The 22,718-nt window shown below is 44.0% G+C and overlaps 1 protein-coding gene across 4 annotated transcripts in view, besides 3 other annotated features; it reads left to right on the top strand.

Moving 5' to 3' along the window:
* Positions 3,365–3,674: a silencer, noted in NCBI's record as "silent region_17782". NCBI's record gives its function as "represses an Ori minimal core promoter by ATAC-STARR-seq in GM12878 lymphoblastoid cells {active_cell/tissue: GM12878}" and the evidence as "EXISTENCE:reporter gene assay evidence [ECO:0000049][PMID:35858748]".
* RPS6KA2 (ribosomal protein S6 kinase A2) overlaps positions 3,734–22,718 on the top strand; it is a 453,410-nt gene continuing 434,425 nt past the window's right edge. For 2 of the 4 annotated variants that reach the window (NM_001006932.3, NM_001318936.2), the window contains exons 1-2: positions 3,982–4,399; positions 8,248–8,307. In NM_001006932.3, coding sequence (NP_001006933.3) covers positions 4,337–4,399; positions 8,248–8,307 — 123 coding nt within the window. In that variant the 5' untranslated portion in view covers positions 3,982–4,336. Of the gene's footprint in view, positions 3,890–3,981; positions 4,400–8,247; positions 8,308–22,718 lie in introns of those variants that run through there. The other 2 variants (XM_047419235.1, NM_001318937.2) reach the window with 2 other exon arrangements.
* Positions 12,406–13,384: an enhancer, noted in NCBI's record as "H3K4me1 hESC enhancer chr6:167266611-167267589 (GRCh37/hg19 assembly coordinates)". NCBI's record gives its function as "activates a minimal SCP1, AML or CMV promoter by ChIP-STARR-seq in naive H9 embryonic stem cells {active_cell/tissue: H9 hESC(naive)}" and the evidence as "EXISTENCE:reporter gene assay evidence [ECO:0000049][PMID:30033119]".
* Positions 16,437–16,486: an enhancer, noted in NCBI's record as "active region_25439". NCBI's record gives its function as "activates an Ori minimal core promoter by ATAC-STARR-seq in GM12878 lymphoblastoid cells {active_cell/tissue: GM12878}" and the evidence as "EXISTENCE:reporter gene assay evidence [ECO:0000049][PMID:35858748]".

The raw sequence follows: 22,718 nt of genomic DNA, 5'->3' as shown, positions 1-22,718 counted from the left end.
CTCAAACCATCCTCCCATCTCAGCCTCCCGAGTAGTTGGGACTACAGGCATGTGCCACCATGCCTGGCTATTTTAAAAAAATTTTATTCTTAGTAGGGACAGGGTCTCACTGTGTTGCCAAGGCTGGTTTCAAACTCCTGGGCTTAAGTGATCCTACTGCCTCGGCCTTCCAAAGTGCTGAGATTACAGGTGTGAGCCACTGCATCTGGACACTGTTTTCATTTTTACTAAATCTTTCATCCATCTCAAAATGTACAATATTGCAAAACGGAACAGCCCAGAATAAAACATTTGGGTCTTTTAAAAATGTCCGTCGGATTCAGTGTGGAGGTCAAGCACGTCTGTCCATCAGAAAACTTGGATTTCTTTGGGCCTTTTCTCTCAGATCACGAAACACATTTCGTTGCTGTGTATTCTGTGAGTCAGGCCGTGGCAGCCCCCTCTGTGGGGAAACTGAGCTACAGAAGATAGCTATTAGTAGCAGAAGTGGGACCAGGACCAGATTCCTGATTCAGCTTTTCTTTGGTTGTCAGAAATCCGTGGAATGGATAAGCTCTCTCCATCCCTCCTTCCCTCCCCTTCTCCATCCGTCTTTCCTTCCTAAGAGAAAAGAGACACTTTAAGATTGAAGAGGCAATGAACACAGAGGAGTGCTCTTCCTTCGTTGGAGCAAGAGAGTAATTTTCACTTGGGGCTGGGTCTCAGTGAGTTTCATGCCAGCTCATCCATCTCATCTCACAATGGCTGTGACTTGGGACACTTAAAATACTTCCCATTGCTTTTCTTTTGCAGAGTTTGGTTCATTAAGGACCCATTTTCAGCAAGGCTGCTTCAACAGTTCTTCTTAGAAATTGATGCTTTGGAGGTGAATATCTCAGAAATAGCTTTTTCAGGTGGTGTTCTGTTGAAAGTGTTGTTCAGGCCGGGCCGAATGACTCAAGCCTGTAATCCCAGCACTCTGGGAGGCCGAAGCCGGCAGATTGCCTGAGTTCAAGAGTTTGAGACCAGCCGGGGCAACATGGCAAAACCCTGTCTCTACAGAAAACACACGCACACACAAAAATGAGTGGTGTGGTGGTATGCGCCTGTGGTCCTAGCTACTTGGGAGGCTAGGGTGGATCTCTTGAGCCCAGGAAGTCGAGAAGGCAGTAAGCTGAGATCGTGCCACTACACTACAGTCTGGGTGACAAAGTGACACCCTGTCTCAAAAAAAAGAAAGAAAGAAAAAGATTGTTCAAGTTTTCTTGGGATTTATTTGAACATTTTAATTCCAACGCATCTAATTTCCTGGGTTCTTTATTTGAATCTTTATCTTCGTAGGTATTTAAATGTAATCATTATTTCCTTTCAGAAAAATTATTCCTTCTTACCTCTAATTGTTTACCTTTCCCAACACAAACTTTATAAGTGGGGCTGTTTTCCCAGATCAATATCACCTTTTGAAGATTTCAGTTTGTTGCATTTTATTTTGTTTTATTTTCTGGCTGTTTCCAGGTCCCCTTCCCCAGTGTCTGGCACACCTGGTACTGCATCTTGGTGGGCAGCAGCCCTGGGAGTGCCTTGCATGTAAAAAGCTGATGGAAAGGAACCCATCCGGGAGGTTTCTGCTTTGGGAGGACCCCGTAGGTGTTTTACAAGGCAGCAGTGCAGGGAGTAAGTGTGGGAATTCCAGCCCAGAGCCCTGGCCACATGAACTCTCGTCTCACTCCCTGGTGATCGCTTCATCTCTCCAGGCTCTCTGCTTGCCTGTGAGATGCCCAAATAATGTGCAGTCTGTTGATTAGTGTCATATTTGCATAGTTAAAAAAAACACCATGCTAAATTATGAGCCACATTTTCAGCAATTCCTAAGATACCCCTTAAAATGAGCTCTTTTTTGCTAGGGACTCTGGCAGGCTGTTCACCCATGGCCTCCCAGGAGCTGGGCTTCCCTCAAGTTTCCTAGGACACACTGCCAATCACAAGACAGCCCGTCCAAAGGACTTTTCCTCCCTCATATAAAGGACCTCTATTTCCTTCTTCCACAACAGAGCACTTGTGGAAACTTCCAGAAGCTGGAGTCTTTGTAAATACACAGTAAAGAATCTGAGTTCATTTCTTTCCCATTGCCTTCAGGAGTCCACATTTTTACCATCAGATTAAAGATTCTTGACATCTCTTCACTGTCTTTTATGAGTGACTCTCCTAGCTTTTTTACAGAAAAACCAAAAACCATTTTTTTTTTTTTGAGACAGAGTCTCGCGCTGTTGCCCAGGCTGGAGTGCAGTGGCGTGATCTCCGCTCACTGCAACTTCCGCCCCCTGGGTTAAAGCAATTCCCCTGCCTCAGCGTCCCTAGTAGCTGGGGTTACAGGCATGCGATACCACGCCCGGCTAAGTTTGTATTTTTAGTAGAGACGGGGTTTCACCGTGTTGGCCAGGCTGGTCTCGAACTCCCGCCTCAGGTGATCCGCCCGCCTTGGCCTCCCAAAGTGCTGGGATTACAGGCATGAGCCACCACCCTGGCTTTGTCTGTTTTTAATCTGTGACCTTTTACAGCATGTACAAAATCACCTTATGATTGTTAACACAAGAAAACCTTCACTCTGCTCTGTCAATCACAGAATCTCCAATTTGAAAACGAACAATATTGCTATTTTTAAAATTCTGAATGCAATTGATTTTAAAGGTCCTTCTGGCCTAATTTTGTAGAAAGATAAAGTGACTGTCATAAATCAACACCAAGTACAGAACCCCTCTGTTAACTTTGGACTCTACTTTGCTATGAGATACAAAGTATCTGGGATTTGGGTTTTTCTTTTTTTCCAGTGAATTGAATTTCTTAGTGATTGCATAAAGTCGAAAAAGAAAAAGGGATTGATAATTTTGGAGAACATTAAGCTATTTTTAAAAAGATATTTCTCTCAAAGATAAAGGAATTTGCTATAGAAATGAATACACTTACTCCCAAAGCAGCATTAAATTGTGTTAACTTTAACACCCTTTCCTAAAAGAGGGAACCATAATGCTTCAGGATTAGCACTTGGACGATTGGAGAAATGAATATGTCTTTCACCCGCACGCACCTTTCATTATCCAGGACAGAAGGGAGTAAGGAGGGAGGCAAGAGAGATCCCCCCACTCCACAACCCAAAAAAGGGAAACAGGGAGGGGAATTTTCCCCTGGTTCCTTTCCAAGGAGCGGTGGCCCAGGAGGCCTTGCTCTCCCGCAGGCGCCTGGCTGTGTCTTCGGGGGTTCCTTCTCTGAGCCTCAGGACTTTGTCACCTGTGAAATAGGACGGGGTGGAGACCTGAAGGAGCTGAGGGGCAGGATACACGTTGTTTGAATTAATGTTTCTGTCCCTCGGGCCCTGCCACTGGGAGCCCCAGCGGCCCACGTGCCTTTCATCCTGGCCCGCAGAGGCCTGAGTGCTGTTTCGGGCAGCTCCGGGCAGGGCTGGGTAGGGCCCAGCGGACCCCACGGGCCGCCCCCCCCCGCCTCTCCCCAGCTATTTGTCTGTCGTCCCTCTTCGTCCCTCTTCTCCTGAGGTGCTGTCCCGGCCCTCGGGGCGGGGGCAGCCGCGGGCAGCTCAGTCCGCAGCGCTTCCAGAGGTGCCCGAGTCTCCTGAACGCTCCGCAGGAAAGCAGCTGTGCTGCGTGGAGCCCTCCCCTCGTCCCGGTCCCTCCGTCCGTGTTCCTGTCCCTCCCGTTCTGCGGCGGGAGGTGGCGGTGTGGGTCTCCGGGGAGGCGCGGCGGGCTGGGGAGGTGGGGAAGGGTGTGCGCGTGCTGGGGGTGGGGGGGAAAGACCTGCCGCCCCCCCCCCCCGCCTCCCCAGCCCTTGGTTGCTATGCAGTTTCTATGGCAGCGGCATCCTCAGACTCAACTTTCACCCTCGTTTAGAGCCAATTAAGGTAAAATAGTGAGGGGAGGAGGGAAGAGCGTGGCCAGGGAAGGGAGGGGGGAGAGGCAGGAAATTCAATTCGAAGCTGCAAGTGCAGCGTTTACTCTGCCAAAGTCGCAGTACAGATTCCGAAGCCGCAGCGCCGTCCCCTCCTTTCCTCGCCCCAGCCCGAGCGGGAAGCGGCAGCAGCTCCCCAGAGCCCTGGCTTGGCAGGGAGGGGACGGCGCCCGAGCAGCCATATTGCAGCCCCCCGGGTCCCTCCTCCGGCCGGCGCAGGCCCCGCGCTCACGACCTCCTCTGGGAGCCGGATCTGTCCTCTCCATCGCCGCCACCCGCCGGCCTCTGCGTCCCTTGGCTTCCGACATCCCGTCTGGCCGTCCCCCTGTGCCGGTCCGAGCCTCTGTTTATTTCCTTTCCTACTATCAATACTCGACCAGCAGAAAAGGAAAGTTTAAAAATGCCAATCGCACAGTTGCTGGAACTATGGAAAAAGATCGAGGTGGAGCCTATGGAAATAGAGGTGAGTGCAGGAGAGAACGCACTTTTCACAGCATCCTCAAGAATCCGAACTCTGCAGCCAATGCATTGCTCATTTACTATAATCAGTTCATGTCCATTAGGTGACTATGATGGGTCAGAGAGTTGGCTATCCAGTGTGTGTGGATGTATATGTTGCGTTGTGTATGCACATGGATAAACATTGCGTGTGTATACACGCACGGCATTGTGTGTGGTGTAAATACATAAATGATAATGAGTACAAGAAACAAATTGTTGCCCTTAAGGAAACTTCAGGATGCTTCTTAAAGTCTATGTAAGTCTTAAAGTATTCCCGTTTCCAAACTAATCTGCATCAGTTTGATTTTCCTTCAACAAGTGGCTTTAAATTAGAAGCCTTCCATTTGCTACAGTGAAAGATGAAACCAGAAGGCAAAAATCAATGATGAATCAAGGAACAGAGAGCATAAAGATAATGTGATCTTAAACGAAAAAAGATAATGCAACCTTAAAAGGATGAATGGTCAGATAAAGAGGTGTGATTAAAGATAAACAGAAAAGATAATGAAATCAAAGTGTTCCTTGCCCGTCCCAGGGCTGGTGGGTGTGCAGGAATCACTGCTGAGAGTTTTTCACTCCATGCTTCCCTGGGGACACGCAAACCTCTGCTCCACGGAATCTGATTTGCTCCATTTGAATTGGAGATGGTCAACATACATTTTCCTAGAAGAGAAAGTTCCCCAAATTTATTAACGTCTACTAAATTATTAGATATACCTGTTCTGTGTTTATAGCAACTCAAATGGCATTTAAACATGGCTCATTTGTAATCACTCACCAAACCTCCTCAAAGTCCAATTTAATTTTTGCCTATCTCCTACTCCCAGCACTGTACTTATAAATTCAATGCTATTTTAAATTTTATTTATTCTTATATGTACGTCTTGAGATAGTCACATAACATACCTTTGAACTGAATGAGAGATTCTGTTTTAGAAGAGAATTTACTGAATGCTTCATATTGAATAGTTTTCTTGGAAAGCCAAGCTAAATAATGCTCGACATATGTATTGATGTTTAGCAGAGACTGTTGGGCATAGCACGGACATTGAAGTCCATTTGTTTTAGATGGAACAGCCCAGATACTGCTGCTCATGGAAAGTACCTGGGGTGGGAGAAGGATGACACCAGGGCTCCCTACTGTTACTGATTCTTCTGTTTGTACATGGGGTTGTTCTTGGTGTTGAGGATGGTGCCTTGGAAAGATCCATTCCCTTACTGCGGTTGCCATTTCAAGTCTACTTTTTTTGAGAGAGAGAGAGATTCAATTTTTCTAAATATTGAATTAGTGAACGAGCAAGTGATCAGCTAGAAGTTCTTTTCTCATTTACTAGTGCTTCCTATAGCCCAGCTGGTCATCGTCAGCACATTGGCTTGTGCTGAAGCTGTAAGGTGCTCAGCCCTCACGAATGAAGGGCTTGTCCAGAGGGAGGATTCCGCCCTGGGCTCAGAAAGGATGGGAGAGAGGGGGCCAGGGGCTTTACAATTCCAGGTGGGACCCTGGTCTTTACATTATTTCCAGTGACCAAAGCCATGAGGAGCAGCTTGTGTTTCACATATTTCTCAAATCGCTCATAAATGGATCAGCAATGAATAGATTCCCATGATTTGAAAACCATGCCATGAGCCTAGAAAGCACTTGCAAGTGGCAAGAATTTGGAGCCGAGTTGACTGATGGTCTGCCCTGCCTTGCCAGCCCCAGGAGAGGGCAGATGGTAAAGGTTTTGAGGAAAATTGGATACATTAAATAGCTCTTGAAGCAAAATAAATTTTTTTCAGGCTTCTTAGCTGAATTTTTTCAGGAGAGCACAGCTGGTGGAGTATGGACAGTGTTAAATTCCTATTTACTTGGAACCCAGAAAACCAGAGTTCTTTCTATAGAAAAATGAAAGCTTAAATATTAACCATGAGGTACTTCAAGTTTCTGAGGAAATTTCCAAATCCACAAAATCCTCTGTGTTTTGGAATTCACAGTCTGAATTTCCTCTCTAGTTTTGTCCATGTTTTATGTTGCATGGTATTAAAATAACTCACATATCAAGAAATGTGGCAGAGCTATATGGAGCATATCTGGCCTCTGAACTCCAAGTTAAATGCCCTAAAACCCTTGCAGGAGGAGCCTGCATGCTTTTCTCATCGGAAAATCTGCTAAGAGATTTTAGTGCTTATTTTTTAGTGATTTAGTTTAGATTTTATTGCTTTAGTTCCTTGCTGTTATGCAAATGTGACAGGACTGATGATTGGATTTCCAGGGACTAGAATCAGCATTCCTGGATTCATGTTTTGCTCTAACCACCTTTTCAAGCTGCTATCCTTTCTGGCCTGTTTTCTCATCTGTAGTCTGAGAGAACCGAACTGAACTGGGTCTGAGGTCCATTGTACTAGAGAACACTAAATACAGTTTATAAAAATTGTAGACCAGGGGAGATTCATCTGACTGTCCAGGGAAAGTCTTTGTGGTTCTCTGTGTTGTTCTGAGATATTTCAGATATATAATTAACCCATAAATGGGTGTGTTGACAAGGCAACGTGCTCATTAAGAGCCAGAACCTCCAGAAAACCCCGGCAGAATCTAGCATGAAAAAGAAACATGTAGTATTTCATGAATTATGTTCTGGCAAGTTGAAGGCACATCTCAAACACAGGACTTTTCAATCATTGCTTTCAGCGGGGTTACAGCAGCCAAGGGCGTGCTTTGGGGGCAAGATAAGAAAATGGGAGAAATGATGAGTAAGGCAAGTCCATAAGCCAGCCCACAAGGTCTGGCTGACCCATTTTATTTGTGTTCTCTTGGAGGAATAAGCATGATTTTTCTCTCTGGGATGTCATAATACATTAGATAGAGAAAGAGAAAGCTCCGTTTTTAAACAATGCAGATCAAACATGATTCCCTGAAGATTCATAGTCAAGCTTGGATAGAGATGATTATCTCCTGGCTACTAGGTGAGAAGATGAAACTAGAAATAGTAATAATGACAGCAGTTCACTTTGCGTGTCTGCTGCATGGCAGCTGGTGCTGATGGCTGGCTGGTGTTCTTCCGTGGAGCTCTCCCGTGTCTGCTGCATGGCAGCCGGTGCTGATGGCTGGCTGGTGTTCTTCCGTGGAGCTCTCCCGTGTCTGCTGCATGGCAGCCGGTGCTGATGGCTGGCTGGTGTTCTTCCGTGGAGCTCTCCCCACATCTCTAGGCAGAAGCACTGCCATGTCTCCGAGGCCCAGGTTAAGCAGGTGGCTCCAAGTTGTTAAGTAGAAACCAAAGACTCAGACCCAGATGGTTCCACTTAAACCTTGTGCCAACCACAGAAACACTTGCTTTACGTTTTATGGGCTGGGCCTCATTTCTCTGCTAGAATCCATTCTCCCAGCACTCACTTGGGACTGTGATTTGGTTCCGTTCTCATGGGAGTGGTCACACATGCCTTCACCGCTGCTCTGTGCTTCCACATCAGCTCCGTTCGTATTTTAGCTTCATGAAAATCCACGCTTTCTCCACTGGCAAGAATCACCTTGTCGTCCTTTAGATTGTACCGTAAGTCACACTCGCTTCATTGATTTAGTCGTTTGAGTTAGGGTTTAGTGTGAACACTCCTTGCCTTACTTACCACCTGTTGTATAAAGGATCCATCTCGGACATGAAGCATCACACAGTTAAACATAAATTCAGGTGGGAAGGGACGGTGATATGGTTTCCATGTCCTACAGAAATCATGCGGGATATTTAGTTAGTACTTTTTCATATTGGTAACCTGTATGAGGCCACCTACAAACACATGGCAATGCTAACCATCTTTAACATCTATCTTTGTTATCAGACCACAGAGGAGGATCTCAACCTGGATGTGGAGCCCACCACAGAAGACACTGCAGAAGAAGTAACTATACACGTTTTATTACACTCTGCTTTGTTTGGGGAGATTGGGCCCAGAAGGTGGTGAAGGGGGAAATGGAAGTTTGAAATTAAATATCTGTGAGCAGTTATTTTAGTGACATATGTGTCTCTATACATACACATGCACAAACGTGTATATATGCATATGTACATATCATGTGCTTATTATATTCGGTAATCTCCCTCAAAAAGAATAGCTGGAGCATAGGACGGAAGGCTGTCCATCGAGGTAAAGTTCATGGTCTCCTGGCATGGGCACTTGTGAGGGTCATGGTGCATTAGTACCAGTCAAGGAGGCCTGGGAGTAACCAGCTGGCATGGAAGCCTGGTGTGGGGCTCCCTGTACTGGAAGTCATGTGACACAGCTGCTTAAAATGTCTGATGAGGTGCTCAGCAGAGCTGGGGAGAAGAGCGGATTCCATCCGTGGGGAGTTGCCTTTCCAGTGGACGGAGAGGAGTCCCAGGGCCTGTAGGGGTTGACTGGGAAAGAAGGAAAGAGAGACAGGGTATCAGCCCGAGGTGGTCATCAAACGGAAGAGAAGAAAGAGCTCTTGCTGCTGCAGGCTGTGCATTTCTTCATTTTCATGCTGTGCAGGAGCATGGGCCTGATCCAGGCAGCAGAAAACAGACTTAGACTTTAATAAAGTGAGAGTATCTCGGCAACACTGGTGTTCTCAGGGGAGATTTTGGTAACGATAAGTGTATCCATCAGGGAGACACTGGCCAGCAAAGAGGTAAATTGGAAGGCTGAGTTGAGGCTGTAGTCAAGGCATTGTAGTTACGCAGCCACACTTCCACCACTGGTAAAGCAAACGCTCTCAGAGGCAGCCGGAGCCGTGGGCCATTGACTTGGCCATTAAGAAGACTGAGTCGCTCAGCCACATGCCACCTGGAGCCAGAACAGTTAGAAAATTTGCAACTCTGTTGACTTTTAAAATAGCTGGCAGATATTGCAGACTGGAAGGGCTGGATCGATGAACATTACTGGTTTTAGAAAATGGTCTGCTCAGATGCTGAACGCTACGTTTCACTACCATCTAAACCTATGCACACCAATGCAACATTTAAGCCAAGTGTCGCTGGATCTTATGATCCGATGACATAGCCCACTGGTTAAATAAAGAAAAATGGCATTCAGCTGCCTTACGTTTATCCAGCTGCCTTTCGGTTCTGTGCATTTTCACTAATCTGGGAGTCTAGAGTCCAGCTCTCTTCTAGCTGCGCAGCGATCCAGCTGCGTTCTTGAACACTATGCTTGGCCTGGCCTTGTACCTTTGCATCCCCTGGAAAAGTAGATAGCGCTGCTTTTGCCAGTTCCATGATGATCAAAAGGTAGGCAGGCATGAGGCAGTGACTCTCCTGAAAATATGATGCTCAATCTGATACTTGCAAAGTGGTAGGGGTAGGAAAGGAAGATGTACCTTCCCAGCAAATTCATAAGGCCAAAGGTCTCAGAGAAATGACTGGCTGTCATTTTTCAGAATACTTGCCTAGGCTTTTGTAGGAACTGTGATTTCCAGGGAACTTTCAGTGTGTTTACTGCAGACAGACTTATGTGATGACTTAGTAGTTGGCTTCAGGAGGCTGACGACAAGGCCCTGAGCCAGGATGGGTGGAGCAGACTCTTCATTCTGCTAGGTTCAGTTGAAGCAACAAGATTCCATAACACCATGTCCTGCTGCATTCAGGCTGCCATAGCAGAATGCCACACTGGGAGGCTTCTACACAACAGAAAGATATTGCTCGCAGTTCTGGAGGCTGGGAAGTCCACAATTAAGGCATGGCAGGTTTGATGGCTGGTGAAGGCACACTTTCTGGTTCATGGCCAGCCGTCTTTACCCTTGTCCTCACGTGGTGGAAGGGGCAAGGGAGCTCTCTGGGGTCTGTTTGATAAGGACACTAATCCCATTCATGAGAAGTCCACCCTCAAGACCTAATCACCTCCCACAGTTCTCACCTCCTAACACCATCACCTTTATTGCTAGGATTTTAACATATGAGTTTTGGAGAAATACAAACATTTAGACCATAGCACATGTTATGCCCCAAAGTGCATGTATACAACTAACAGAAAATCCTTTAATTCATCAACAGTGTTTATTTTTTAAGAGCTCCTAGTCTCAAGTTGTCGTGTTCTCTACATTTTTGGTGGAAATCTAGATGTGAATCTATCATAGAATGTAATGAAAGTAACCAACCTCTTTAAAAGTTGTTTTTGATAACGGAATATCAGATGGAGGAAATTATTACTGTTTCCTGATGCTTACTGTATCTGGATAATAGAAAACCAGTATATCTTTGCATCTTAATAAATGAAGGAATAGAGTTCCAAACAGATTTTAGGAGTATTTTGCAGAACTATAATCTTGATATTTAGGTACATTTGCAGTATTTGTGGGAAGAATGAGAAAATACTGGAGAAAATTACTTGTTTACTTGATGTTTCTGATAGATGATGCTGAAAACCCAACATGGAGTTTTTTAGTCTAGCTGCAGATGAATGTCATTTGAATACTCTATGATGTTGTGTAACTTTTGTTAGAGACAGGCTTTCGACATCCTTCTTGGCCTCCAGAGGGGTTATTTGCAAGGTCTTCTCTAGGTTAGGGATTTATGGCTCAAATAAAAGAGCCATATTCTGAACCACAATCACAAAACCCTTCTTATTCTTCTTCTTCTTCCTCTTCTTCTTCCTCTTCTTCTTCTTCCTCTTCCTCTTCCTCTTCTTCTTCCTCTTCTTCTTCCTCTTCTTCCTCTTCTTCTTCCTCCTCCTCTTCCTCCTCCTCCTTCTCCTTTTTCTTCTTTTCCTTCTTCTTCATCTTCATCTTTGTCTTCTTCGTCTTCTTCGTCTTTTAATAGATTTAGGGAGTATAAATGCAGTTTCGTTATGTGGATATATTGTGTAGTCATGAATTCTGGACTTCTAGCATAGCCATTACCAGAACAGTGACCACAGAACCCAACATGTGATTTTTCATCCTCGCCCCCACTCCCACGCTCCCACCTTTTGTAGCCCAGTGTTTACTCTTCCCCCTCTATGTTCACGTGTGCTCATTCTTTAGTCCCACTTATAAGTGAGAACATGCGGCATTTCTGAGTTACTTCACTTAGGATAATGGCCTCCGGTTCCAACCACGTTGCTGCTAAAGGCATGATTTCATTCTTTTTTATGGCTGAATAGTATTCCATGATGTATCTGTATCACATTTTCTTGATTGAATTCTTCGATGTTGGACACTTATGTTGATTCCATGGCTATGCTATTGTGAATTGTACTGTGATAAACAGATAAGTGAAGGTGTCTTTTTTATATAATAATTTCTTTTTCTTAGGGTAGATACCTAGTAGTGGGATTATGGATCAAATGGTAGTTCTGTTTTTAGTTTTCTGAAAAGTTTTCATATGTCTTTTGTAGAGGTTGTGCTGATTTACATTCCCACCAACAGTGTATAAGCGTTCCCTTTCTCTGCATCCTTGCCAACATCTGTTGTTATTTTGAAAAAGAAAGAAATTTTGTGGCAACTAAACTGATAAACGTTTCATGCCTCTTGCCAGTCTGAACATATATGATAAAAAGTCATCTTATTTAGGAAAAAAATCATTCAAGTCAGCAGCAGTTTTCCCATTCATTTATTCAGCCAAGAATATTTATTGATAATCTGTAGGCCAGGCATTATGGTTCATGGAAAAGAATAAAAAGGTGAGCGAGGCTTGCCCTGGAGGAGCGCAGGAGGTGCTGTGATCACTCCAACTTGTGAGTACTTTCACTGATATGAGTTTCGTGGAGTAGACTTCTCACATAGTTTTTGAAGTGTAGAAGGCATTTGGGATAGCTCACATAGGATATCTAGGCATGTGATTCCTCACGTTACGGTTCTGTGCAGCTTCCAAGAAGGTGAGTTCTGGTGAAGGTCCCGTGTGAAGCTTGGGTGTAAGACAAGATGTCTGTTCTTGAGCTTGGGTGTTACTGCAATACACCTTTATTCACCATTGCTGAGGGAACGGCCTCCTCCCTCAAGAAGGCAGTAGTGATGTGGGGGAGTTTGTGTCATAAATTCACGGGATGGGTGGATTCTTGGTCTAATTTCATCTGACGCATCAGAGGCAGGCATCCTTCATATTCTGAACAACAACCACAAAACCCAGCAGATTCTGTCAGGCAATACGTCTTTAAGAGATTACTTGAAGGGGCTCAGTATAGCGACATCACAGTCGTGGAAGAAAAATCTAGAAGCAAAATGACTCCTGTGAGCAGGCGAGGCCCTGGCTCCCTGAGGCTCTGGCCTCTCCCCATCCTGCCTCTCTCCTGCAGGCCATGTGTACTGAGGCAAAGGAGCACCGGGGCTGAGAGCGCCTCCATGAGGCGACAGCTCCGTGCAGGAAACAAGCTCGTGGCTCCCCTGGGGACTGCCCTGCAGGCCTAACTGGGCGGACTTGTTGAGGGTCTAGAGGCAACCTGCTGTCTTGTTGCCTGGGAACCTGATCTGGATGTTGGGCCAAGTGTACTCAAACGAACCTCACAGCCACACTCGTGAGACTTAGGTGGCCACGATGCTGAGCATGGATCTTTGGTGGGATAGGACGTGGCGGCGGCTGCGCTCGGCCAGCCTCCTCTGAGCTGCTGTGCTGGGCGGTTGGGAGGGCTGAGGCTGTCCTGATGGAGGAGGAGAGCCAGCTTCAATGGCTTTGGGCCAGGAGAGGCCCCACCTGTCCACTTCCACGGCACAGAGGCGAAGTCTGTGCAGGGCCAGGCAGCCCCAGGCTCCCGGGTCTCTGTGCTGTTTTATCGTCTTTGTTCCCTACATGTTCTTAGATACATAGATGATTTTTAGGTGAGTTTTTATTTCACAGAACAGCCTTTGAAAAATATTAGAATTTGTTGCATGAATTTAATTAGTTTTTGTTTTGTAGACACAGGGTCTCACTATATTGCCTAGGCTGGTCTCGAGCCCCTGAACTCAAACGATCCTCTCGCCTTGGCCTCCCAAAGTGCTGTGACTACAGGCATAAGCCACCACACCTGCCCTGTTGCATGGATTTTTAAAGCGCTTAGATTTCAGGGTTATGTTTATTGATAACAATAGGACCATTTTCTTGTTAGGTCAACTTTATAAAACCAGATCCAGGTGTTATTGAAAATGTCAGCGTGATTCCACTTCATTTCCTTGTGGCTACGGGGGTACTTTCCCTTTCCTCTCAAATTTTACTCTGTTTTTCATAGCAGAATAGAAAGTATCCGGGCGAGGGGGCAGGGCAGGTGCATTTCCTGCTGTCACCATCAGTTGGCAGGACACAGCCACACGGGGATCACAGGGTTTCGGCTGCCAGATGACAGTCTCTTTGAGCCAAGGAGGGTGCTGAAGACACAGCACCAGCTGAGAGGTCACAGAGGGACCCTCAGGCCTGGGCAGGAAGCCTCCTTACAGGGACATCCAGGGGCCTGTGGGCGCTCAGGGATGAGCTCCTGAGCGTGTCAGCGTGGCCTCCTCCAATGCCCAGCTCCCGGAGTTGCCGAGCCGTTGCTGCTTGGACCCCTCGACGAGTCCCCTGGTGAGGAAAAGGGTCAGGAAGAGACTCGTGGCAACAGGCAGAAAGGGTGAAAGAGAGAGCCAGGCCGGGTGTGTTCAGGAGCTCTGGGCCAAAGCTCCAGCAGGATATGGCCCGGGACAGGCTAAACCGCCTGTGCGGCCACGTTGCCTCTCATGTCTCTGCAATCCAGACAGAATTCCATTGTTCCTCATAAAAAAACAGAAAGAAAAACAATCTAAACTGGTCTGAATAGAAGTGAGACAAGGTGAATAATGAAGCCCAGGCACTAATGAAGCAATTAAGAGCAATGCAATTACTGTTTACAAGAAATCACTAGTAGATTTGAAAGAAGATTGATAAAACAATCTTCCAGGCCCTGCTTATTACCTCCTGTGAATCTGTCTCTGTGGCGTCTCTGAAAGCTGGTGTTACATAAGTCACCATGATGGCAGTCTATTTGCATTTGTATTTCTTACTGTTTCTCTGTCCAGCAGACAAGAATCACTTTAGTCCTTGCAGAAATGCTAGAAAAGGGTAGGGTAAGCATCATGCCTCCTGGAAAGCGGGTGATGCGGCTAAGCCACTGCAGGCCCATCTGTGTTTAGACGCACTGTGGAGCGGGTGAGAATAACATTGGCTTCATGGAACATTAGCATTTATTGAGGCAGAAAAGAAGAAAAACGTATGATTTTGTAAAGAAGATTGGGACAGCATATCATTTGATGTGTAAGTGGTAATTATTTGCAAGAATCCACAAAAGACAAGAAGTCTGGCTCTTGTCATCTGCAGACATCCCTCCTTCTGGTTATTCCTTTCTCACTGAGTGTTTGTCATTTGTCATTCCTGGGCAGATGAAGACAGTGTATAGCTCTTTTCAGTTTCTGGGATCCTCATTTTTCTGCTTCTGTAACAAAGTCAGCCTTTGCACATTTCCCAGAGTGCTTTCTTTCCGAGAAACAGAGGATTACTCAGTGCGAATGGGAACAGTCTCTAAAATCGTGGGCACCGGCTGGAGACTGTGTCCCGTGGTCTGAGAGCACCAAATCGGGAGCCTGGAGCGGAGCACTCACCGCTGGCTCCTCACGCATGGCTCCAGGGAGTGTGCACCAGCAAATGGCCTGTGGGGGCTTCCTTGTAGCCTCTGGGGCAGAGCAGTAACTATCTCTGCTGCCTGGTGATTTTATGGGGGTGTCTCATAAAGAAAACGCCGGTTCTCCAGAAAAAAATTGTGCTCATCCGATCACAGCCAAGAATCACCTTCTGCGTTGAGGTCGTTGCTAAATCATGAAGCAAAAGACCCAAAGAAAGCTCCGTTTTCTCTGTGTCTAGTGTGCGGAGCAGCAGGTTGGAGAAGGCGATGAGATCCAGTTTGGGTGTCTGTAAGGCCTCCCAGGTCTGAGCCCCTGAGGACTGGTGGCGTGGCTCTCCTCCTGCCTGCAGAGGACTGGCTGTGAAATAACAACCCAACTCTTGATGTGCGCCTGTTTTCCACGCCTTGCACCCTCCCTCAGCCCTGGGAAGTGGGCAGGAGGTCTGTTAGTTTTCCCCCATTTTTCAGGTGGTGAAATCGAGGCACCAAAGGTGATGTAATTTGCTAAGTATAGCAGAGAACTAATGAGTGAGGGAATTTCAAACAAAGGCTTTTTCTACAGACTTATTTTCTCCTCCTAGAACCCTTGATTTCCCACAGTGTACTCAACAATGGGGGCAGATTTTTTATTTTTGGCTAATGCAGTCAGGTCATGGGTCAAACCTGGTGGCTCAGTCCCTTCCTTCTGTTCAGGCCTTATCTCGGTGCTACAGGCATCTCTGGTCACACAGAGGGTGCTGGCCACGTTGTCTGTCCCTCCATGTCCCTGTCATCTCCCTCCTCACCCACATGTGGGGGAGCCCACCTCCCATAGGTTCATCCCCCGTGAGACCTCAGAAGCAGCCTGGCTTCCCGCTGAGCCGCCATCCCGAGCAGAGCTTTCCTGAGGAGGACGCAGGGGCTCAGATCTGTGACTCTGGCCGAGGCTGCGTGGAACTCACGGGACCTGCGTTGCCACACTGAGACCCTTTCTCCTCTCTTTCCAAAATCTCTCTCCTCTCTTCACACTGGAGAAAGACAAGCATTATTTCTTTATGAGTGCACAAAAATCCGGGGGCTTTTAGATGGAGCTGCTTTTAAAAATTATACCTCCCTATTCACTGCTATCTTGTCATAGGTGGGATGTATTATTGATTTACAAGAATTACAAAAGCTCCTTATATTTTATTAATCCTAGATGGACAATTTAAATAATTTTGGTAAGATTTATATACATATATAGGTTTTTTTTTTAATTGAGTGGATTTTCTCCCATAGATAATGCTGTGTGTGTTTGGGTAAGATGCAAGGTGTCAGTTAGAAAATTGTATAGTTTGTTATCCTTCAGGTATTTTGAAGTAATAAAATGGGGAAAAAAAATCCTTGTACCCTTGTAATGTACATGCAGCTGAGAGCTGGGTGTGGAGACAGACTTTGCAATTTATGTGAGTCATAAAATTCTCCAGGGAATCATGAAGACATATTTTTCCAGGATGTAGAACCCAAACATCCCACTTGCCAAATGCACGTTGAGTGGCCACCAAGAAGGAAACGCCTCCGCTCCACGTCCCTGGCGGAGGCCCCGTGGGCATAGCAGAGCCATGCGTGAGTGCCCCTCGTTCCTGAACCCGGAGTCTCACACTTCTCTGGTGGAGGCCCCGTGGGCACAGCGGAGCCAGGCATGAGTGCCCCTGGTCCCTGAACCCGGTGTCTCACTTCTGTCTTATGTAGAACAGATGGAGCAAACCCTATAAAACCATTTCCAAAGAAAGCGAAGGCGAGAATTCAGTCAGCTTGAGGAAACGGCTGTGAACACATGCTGGTGTCAGTCTCAGGCCACACACTGCGCCAGGCACATGGGACTGAGTATGCATAGGACGCAGCTCCTGTGTTGGGAAAGCTCATTCTACGTGAGGATTTAGCCCAATAAATGCCTATCTCCAAGTTAATAGGGTAAACATTGCAATGTCCTTCTTGAAACGATGAACGGTCTCATGGATTTCCACGGGCGGGGGTGGCCTGGGGTCCTCCACTGTCAGCTACACGCGTGGTGACTCAAGCTGATCCGCCCCCACCTCACCCTCCCTTCTTCTTTTATTCTTCGGGCAAAGTCTGGGGAGTGATAACTGTGTGTCTGGCCCTGTGCTGGGCACCAGGATTCTATGAAAAAGAAGACAGCACGAATCTTATATTTTAGCATCCTCGCAAATAAACAACTAGCTCAACAAGATGGTTTCACACGGGGGTAAGTACTGTGCAGAAATAGGGTGACAGGGAGTGCTCTGCGTGGGCCATACCAGCAGAGGCATGGGGCATGGTTACCGTAGACTTCTCTACCCACGCCATGTTTAGGCCACGACCTGACTGATGAGAAGAAACCAACCAGCAAGACCAGGGGTGGATTGTCCCAGACAGACAGACAGACAGACCCTGGCATGGCCGGACCAAGGAAGCCTCAGCTGGGCTTGGCTTCAGGAACCATGTGCAGGCCTGGGGCTGCCCAGGCTGGCCTGAGATGCATGTGGAGAGAAGAGTGTGATGTCAGGATTCGAGGCCATGGCAAGGTCTTGGATTATATCCTTTTTTCCTGGAAGCCTTTTGGGACTTCTAAGCAGGAGAGTGATGGGACCCACATATATATATATATTTTTAAAATTAATTTTTTAAAAATTAATTTTTTATTTCAATAGGATTTTGGGGAACGGGTGGTATTTGGTTGCATGAATAAGTTCTTTAGTGGTGATTTCTGAGACTTTGGTGCACCCATCACCCAAGCAGTGTACACTGTACCCAGTGTGTAGCCTTTCATCCTTCATCCCCCTCCCACCCCTTCCCGTGAGTTCCCAAAGTCCGTTGAATCCTTCTTATGCCTTCGTGTTCTCATAACTTAGCTCCCAATTATGAGTGAGAACATACGATGTTTGGTTTTCCATTCTTGAGTTACTTCACTAAGAATAATGGTCTCCAGTTCCATCCAGGTTGCAGTGAATGCCATTACTTCATTCTTTTTATGGCTGAGTAGTATTCCATGGTATATATACCACAGTTGCTTTATCCACTAATTGACTGATGGGCATTTGGGGTGGTTCCACATTTTTGCATTTGCAAATTATGCTACTATAAACATGCATGTGCGGGTATTTTTTGGTATAATGACTTTTCCTCTGGGTAGGTACCCAGTAGTGGGACTGCTGGATCAAATGGTAGATCTACTTTTAGTTCTTAAAGGAATCTCCACACTGTTTTCCATAGTGGTTGTACTAGTTATACATTTCCACCAACAGTGTAAAAGTGTTCCCTTTTCACTGCATCCATGCTAACATCTATTATTTTTTGATTTTTTAAATTATGGGCATTATTGCAGGAGTGAGATGATATTGCATTGTGGTTTTGATATGCATTTCCCTGATAATAAGTGATGTTGAAGCATTTTTCCATGTTTGTTGGCCATTTGTATATCTTCTTTTGAGAATTGTCTATCCATGTTCTTAGCCCACTTTGATGGATTGTTTATTTTTTATTTCTGATTTGTTTGAGTTCCTTGCAGATCCTGAATATTAGTCCTTTGTTGGATGTATAGGTTGTGAAGATTTTCTTCCACCCTGTGGGTTGTCTGTTAACTCTGCTGATCATTTCTTTTGCTGTGCAGAAGCTTTTTAATTTAATTAAGTCCCATCTATTTATCTTTGTTTTTGTTGTATTTCCTTTTAGGTTCTTGGTCATGAACTCTTTATCTAAGCCAATGTCTAGAAGGGTTTTTCCAATGTTATCTTCTAGAATTTTTGTTGTTTCACGTTCTTAGATTTAAGTCTTTGATCCATCTTGAGTAAATTTTTATATAAGGTGAGAGATGAAGAATGAATTTCATTCTTCTACATGTGGGTAGGCAGTTATCCCAGTATCATATGTTGAATAGGGTGTCCTTTCCCTACTTTATGTTTTTGTTTGCTTTGTTGAAGATCAGTTGGCTGTAAATATTTGGCTTTATTTCTTGATTCTCTATTCTCTTCCATTTGTCTATGTGCCTATTTTTATTCAAGTACCATGCTGTTTTGGTTACTATGACATTACAGTATAGTTTGGAGTCAGGTAATATAATGCCTCCAAATTTGTTCTTCTTGCTTAGTCTTGCTTTGGCTATGTGGGCTCTTTTTTGGTTCCATATGAATTTTAGAATTGTTTTTTCTAGTTCTGTGAAAAATGATGGTGGTATTTTTATGGGAATTGCATTGAATTTGTAGATTGCTTTTGGCAGTATGGTCATTTTCACAATATTAATTCTACCTATCCATGAACATGGAATGTGTTTCCATTTGTTTGTGTCATCTATTATTTCTTTCAGCAGTGTTTTTACAGTTCTCCTTGTAGAGGTCTTTCACCTCCTTGGTTAGGTATATGCCTAAGGTTTTTTTTTTCAGCTCTTGTAAAAGGGGTTGAGTTCTTGATTTGATTCTCAGCTTGGTCACTGTTGGTGTGTAGCAGAGCTATTGATTTGTGTACATTAATTTTGTATCTGGAAACTTTGCTAAATTCAATTACCAGTTAAAGGAGCTTTTTGGATGAGTCTTTAGGTTTTTTTAGGTATTGTCAGCAAACAGTGACAGTTTGACTTCCTCTTTACTAGGGTTTTCTAGGTATACGATTATATTATCAGCAAACAGTGACAGTTTGACTTCCTCTTTACCAATTTGGATGCCCTTGATTTCTTTCTCTTGTGTGATTGTTCTGGCTAGGACTTCCAGTACTATGTTGAATAGAAGTGGTGAAAGTGGGCATCCTTGTCTTGTTCCAGTTCTCAGGGGAAATGCTTTCAACTTTTCCTCGTTCAGTATAATGTTGGCTGTGTGTTTGGCACAGATGGCTTTTATTACCTTCAGGAATGCCCCTTCTATGCCAATATTCCTGAGGGTTTTAATAATAAAGCAATGCTGGATATTGTCAAATGCTTTTTCTGCATCTATTGGGATGATCACGTGATTTTTGTTTTTAATTCTGTTTATGTGCTATATCACATTTATTGACTTGTGGATGTTAAACCATCCCTGCATTCCTGGTATGAAACCCACTTGATCATGGTGGATTATCTTTTTGATATGCTGTTGGATTCAGTTAGCTAGTATTTTGTTGGGGATTTTTGCATCTATGTTCATCAGGGATATTGGTCTATAGTTTTCTTTTTTTTTATGTCCTTCCCTGATTTTGGTATGGGGGTGATAATGGCTTCATAGAATGATTTAAGAAGGATTCCCTCCTTCTCTATCCTGTGGAATAGTGTCAATAGGCTTGGTTCCAATTCTTCTTTGAATGTCTGATAGAATTCAACTGTGAATACATCTGGTTCTGGACTTTTTTTTTGTTGGCAATTTAAAAATTACCACTTCAATCTTGCTGCTTGTTATTGGTCTGTTCAGAGTTTCTATATCTTCCTGGTTTAATCTAGGAGGGTTGTATATTTTGAGGAATTTATCCATCTCCTCTAGATTTTCTAGTTTATGCTCATAAATGTGTTCATAGTAGCCTTGAAAAATCTTTTGCATTTCTATGGTATCCAGTTGTAATATCTCCCATTTTGTTTCTAATTGAGTTTATTTGGATTTTCTCTTTTTTTCTTGGTTAATCTCGCTAATGATCTATTGATTTTATTTATCATTTCAAAGAACCAGCTTTTTGTTTCATTTAATTTTTGTATTTTCTTTTTGTTTCTATTTCATTTAGGTCTGCTCTGATCTTTATTTCTTTTCTTCTGCTGGGTTTGGGTTTTGATTGTTCTTGTTTCTCCAGTTCCTTGAGGTGTGACCTTAGATTGTCTATTTGTGCTCTTTTAGACTTTTTGATGTAGATATTTAATGCTATGAACTTCCCCCTTAGCACTGCATTTGCTGTATCCCAGAGGTTTTGACAAGTTGTGTCACTATTATTGTTCAGCTCAAATAATTTTTTAATTTCCATCTTGATTTTGTTGTTGACCCAACAGTCGTTCAGGAGCAGGCTATTTGATTTCCATGTATTTGCCTGGTTTTGAGCCTGCCTTTTGGAGTTAATTTCCTATTTTATTCCACTGTGGTCTGAGAGAGTACTTGATATAACTTTGATTTTCTTAAATTTACCTAGCCTTGTTTTGTGGCCTATCATATGGTCTATCTTGGAGAATGTTACATGTGCTGATGAGTAGAGTGTATATTCTGCAGTTGTTGGGCAGGATGTTCTGTAAATATCTGTTAAGTCCATTTGTTGTAGGGTATAGTTTAAGTCCATTATTTCTTTGTTGACTTTCCGTCTTGATGACCTGTCTAGTGCTGTCCATGGAGTATTGAAGTCCCCCACTATTACTGTGTTGCTGTCTCTTTATTTCTTAGGTCTAGTCATAATTGTTTTGTAAACTTGGGAGCTCCAATGTTAGGTGCATATATATTTAGGATTGTGATATTTTCCTGTTGAACTACTGCTTTTATAATTATGTAATGTCCTTCTTTGTCTTTTTAACTGCTGTTGCTTTAAAGTCTGTTTTGTTTGATATAAGAATAGTTACTCCTGCTTGCTTTTGGTATGCATTTTCATGGAATATCTTTTCCACCTCTTTATCTTAAGTTTATGCTACTCTGTATCTTTTAAGTGGGGCATTTAGGCCATTTACATTCAATGTTAGTGTTGAGATGTGAGGTACTATTCTTTTCATTGTGCTATTTGTTGCCTGAATACCTTGGTTTGTTTTTTTTGTTGTTGTTGTGTTATTGTTATATAGGTTCTGTGAGATTTATGTTTTAAGAAGTTTCTATTTTGGTGTATTTAGAGGATTTGTTTCAAGATTTAGGGCTCCTTCTAGCAGTTCTCGTAGTGCTGGCTTGGTAGTGGCAAATTCTCTTAACATTTGTTTGTCTGGAAAAGATTGTATCTTTCCTTCATTTATGAAGTTTAGTTTCACTGGATACAAAATTCTTGGCTGATAATTGTTTTCTTTAAGGAGGCTAAACATAGGACCCCGATCCCTTCTAGCTGGTAGGGTTTCTGCCGAGAAATCTGCTGTTAATCTTATAGGTTTTCCTTTATAGGTTACCTGATGCTTTTGCCTCATAGCTCTTAAGATTCTTTCCTTCATCTTGACTGTAGATAACTTGATGACTATGTGTCTAGGCAATGATCTTTTTGTGATGAACTTCCCAGATGTTCTTTGAGCTTCTTGTATTTGAATGTCTAGATCTCTAGCAAGGCTGGGCAAGCTGTCCTTGATTTTTCCCTCAAATGTTTTCCAGACTTTTAGATTTCTCTTCTTTCTCGGGAACACCAATTATTCTTAGGTTTGGATGCTTAACACAATCCCAAGCTTCTTGGAGCTTTTGTTCATGTTTTAAAATTCTTTTTTCTTTGTCTTTGATGCATTGGGTTAATTCGAAAGCCTTGTCTTTGAGCTCTGAAGTTCTTTCTTCTGCTTGTTTGAGTCTATTGCTGAGACTTTCCAGCACATTTTGTATTTCTCTAAGTGTGTCTTTGATTTCCAGAAGTTGTGATTATTTTTTTATTTATGCTATTTCACTGAAGAATTTTCCTTTCATTTTGTATAACATGTTTTTTTTTATTTCTTTAAGTTGGAGTTCACCTTTCTCTGGTGCCTCCTTAAGTAGCTTAATAATTGACCTTCTGAATTCTTTTTCTGGCAATTCAGAGATTTCCTTTTGGTTTGGATCCATTGCTGGTGTGCTGGTGTGATCTTTTGGAGGTGTTAAAGAACCTTGTTTTGTCATATTACCAGAATTGTTTTCTGGTTCCTTCTCATTTGGGTAGACTATGTCTGAGGGAAG

The sequence above is a fragment of the Homo sapiens genome, chromosome 6, assembly GCF_000001405.40.
Source record: "Homo sapiens chromosome 6, GRCh38.p14 Primary Assembly".
Lineage (NCBI taxonomy): Eukaryota > Metazoa > Chordata > Mammalia > Primates > Hominidae > Homo > Homo sapiens.
This window is presented reverse-complemented; position numbering and strand designations above follow the sequence as displayed.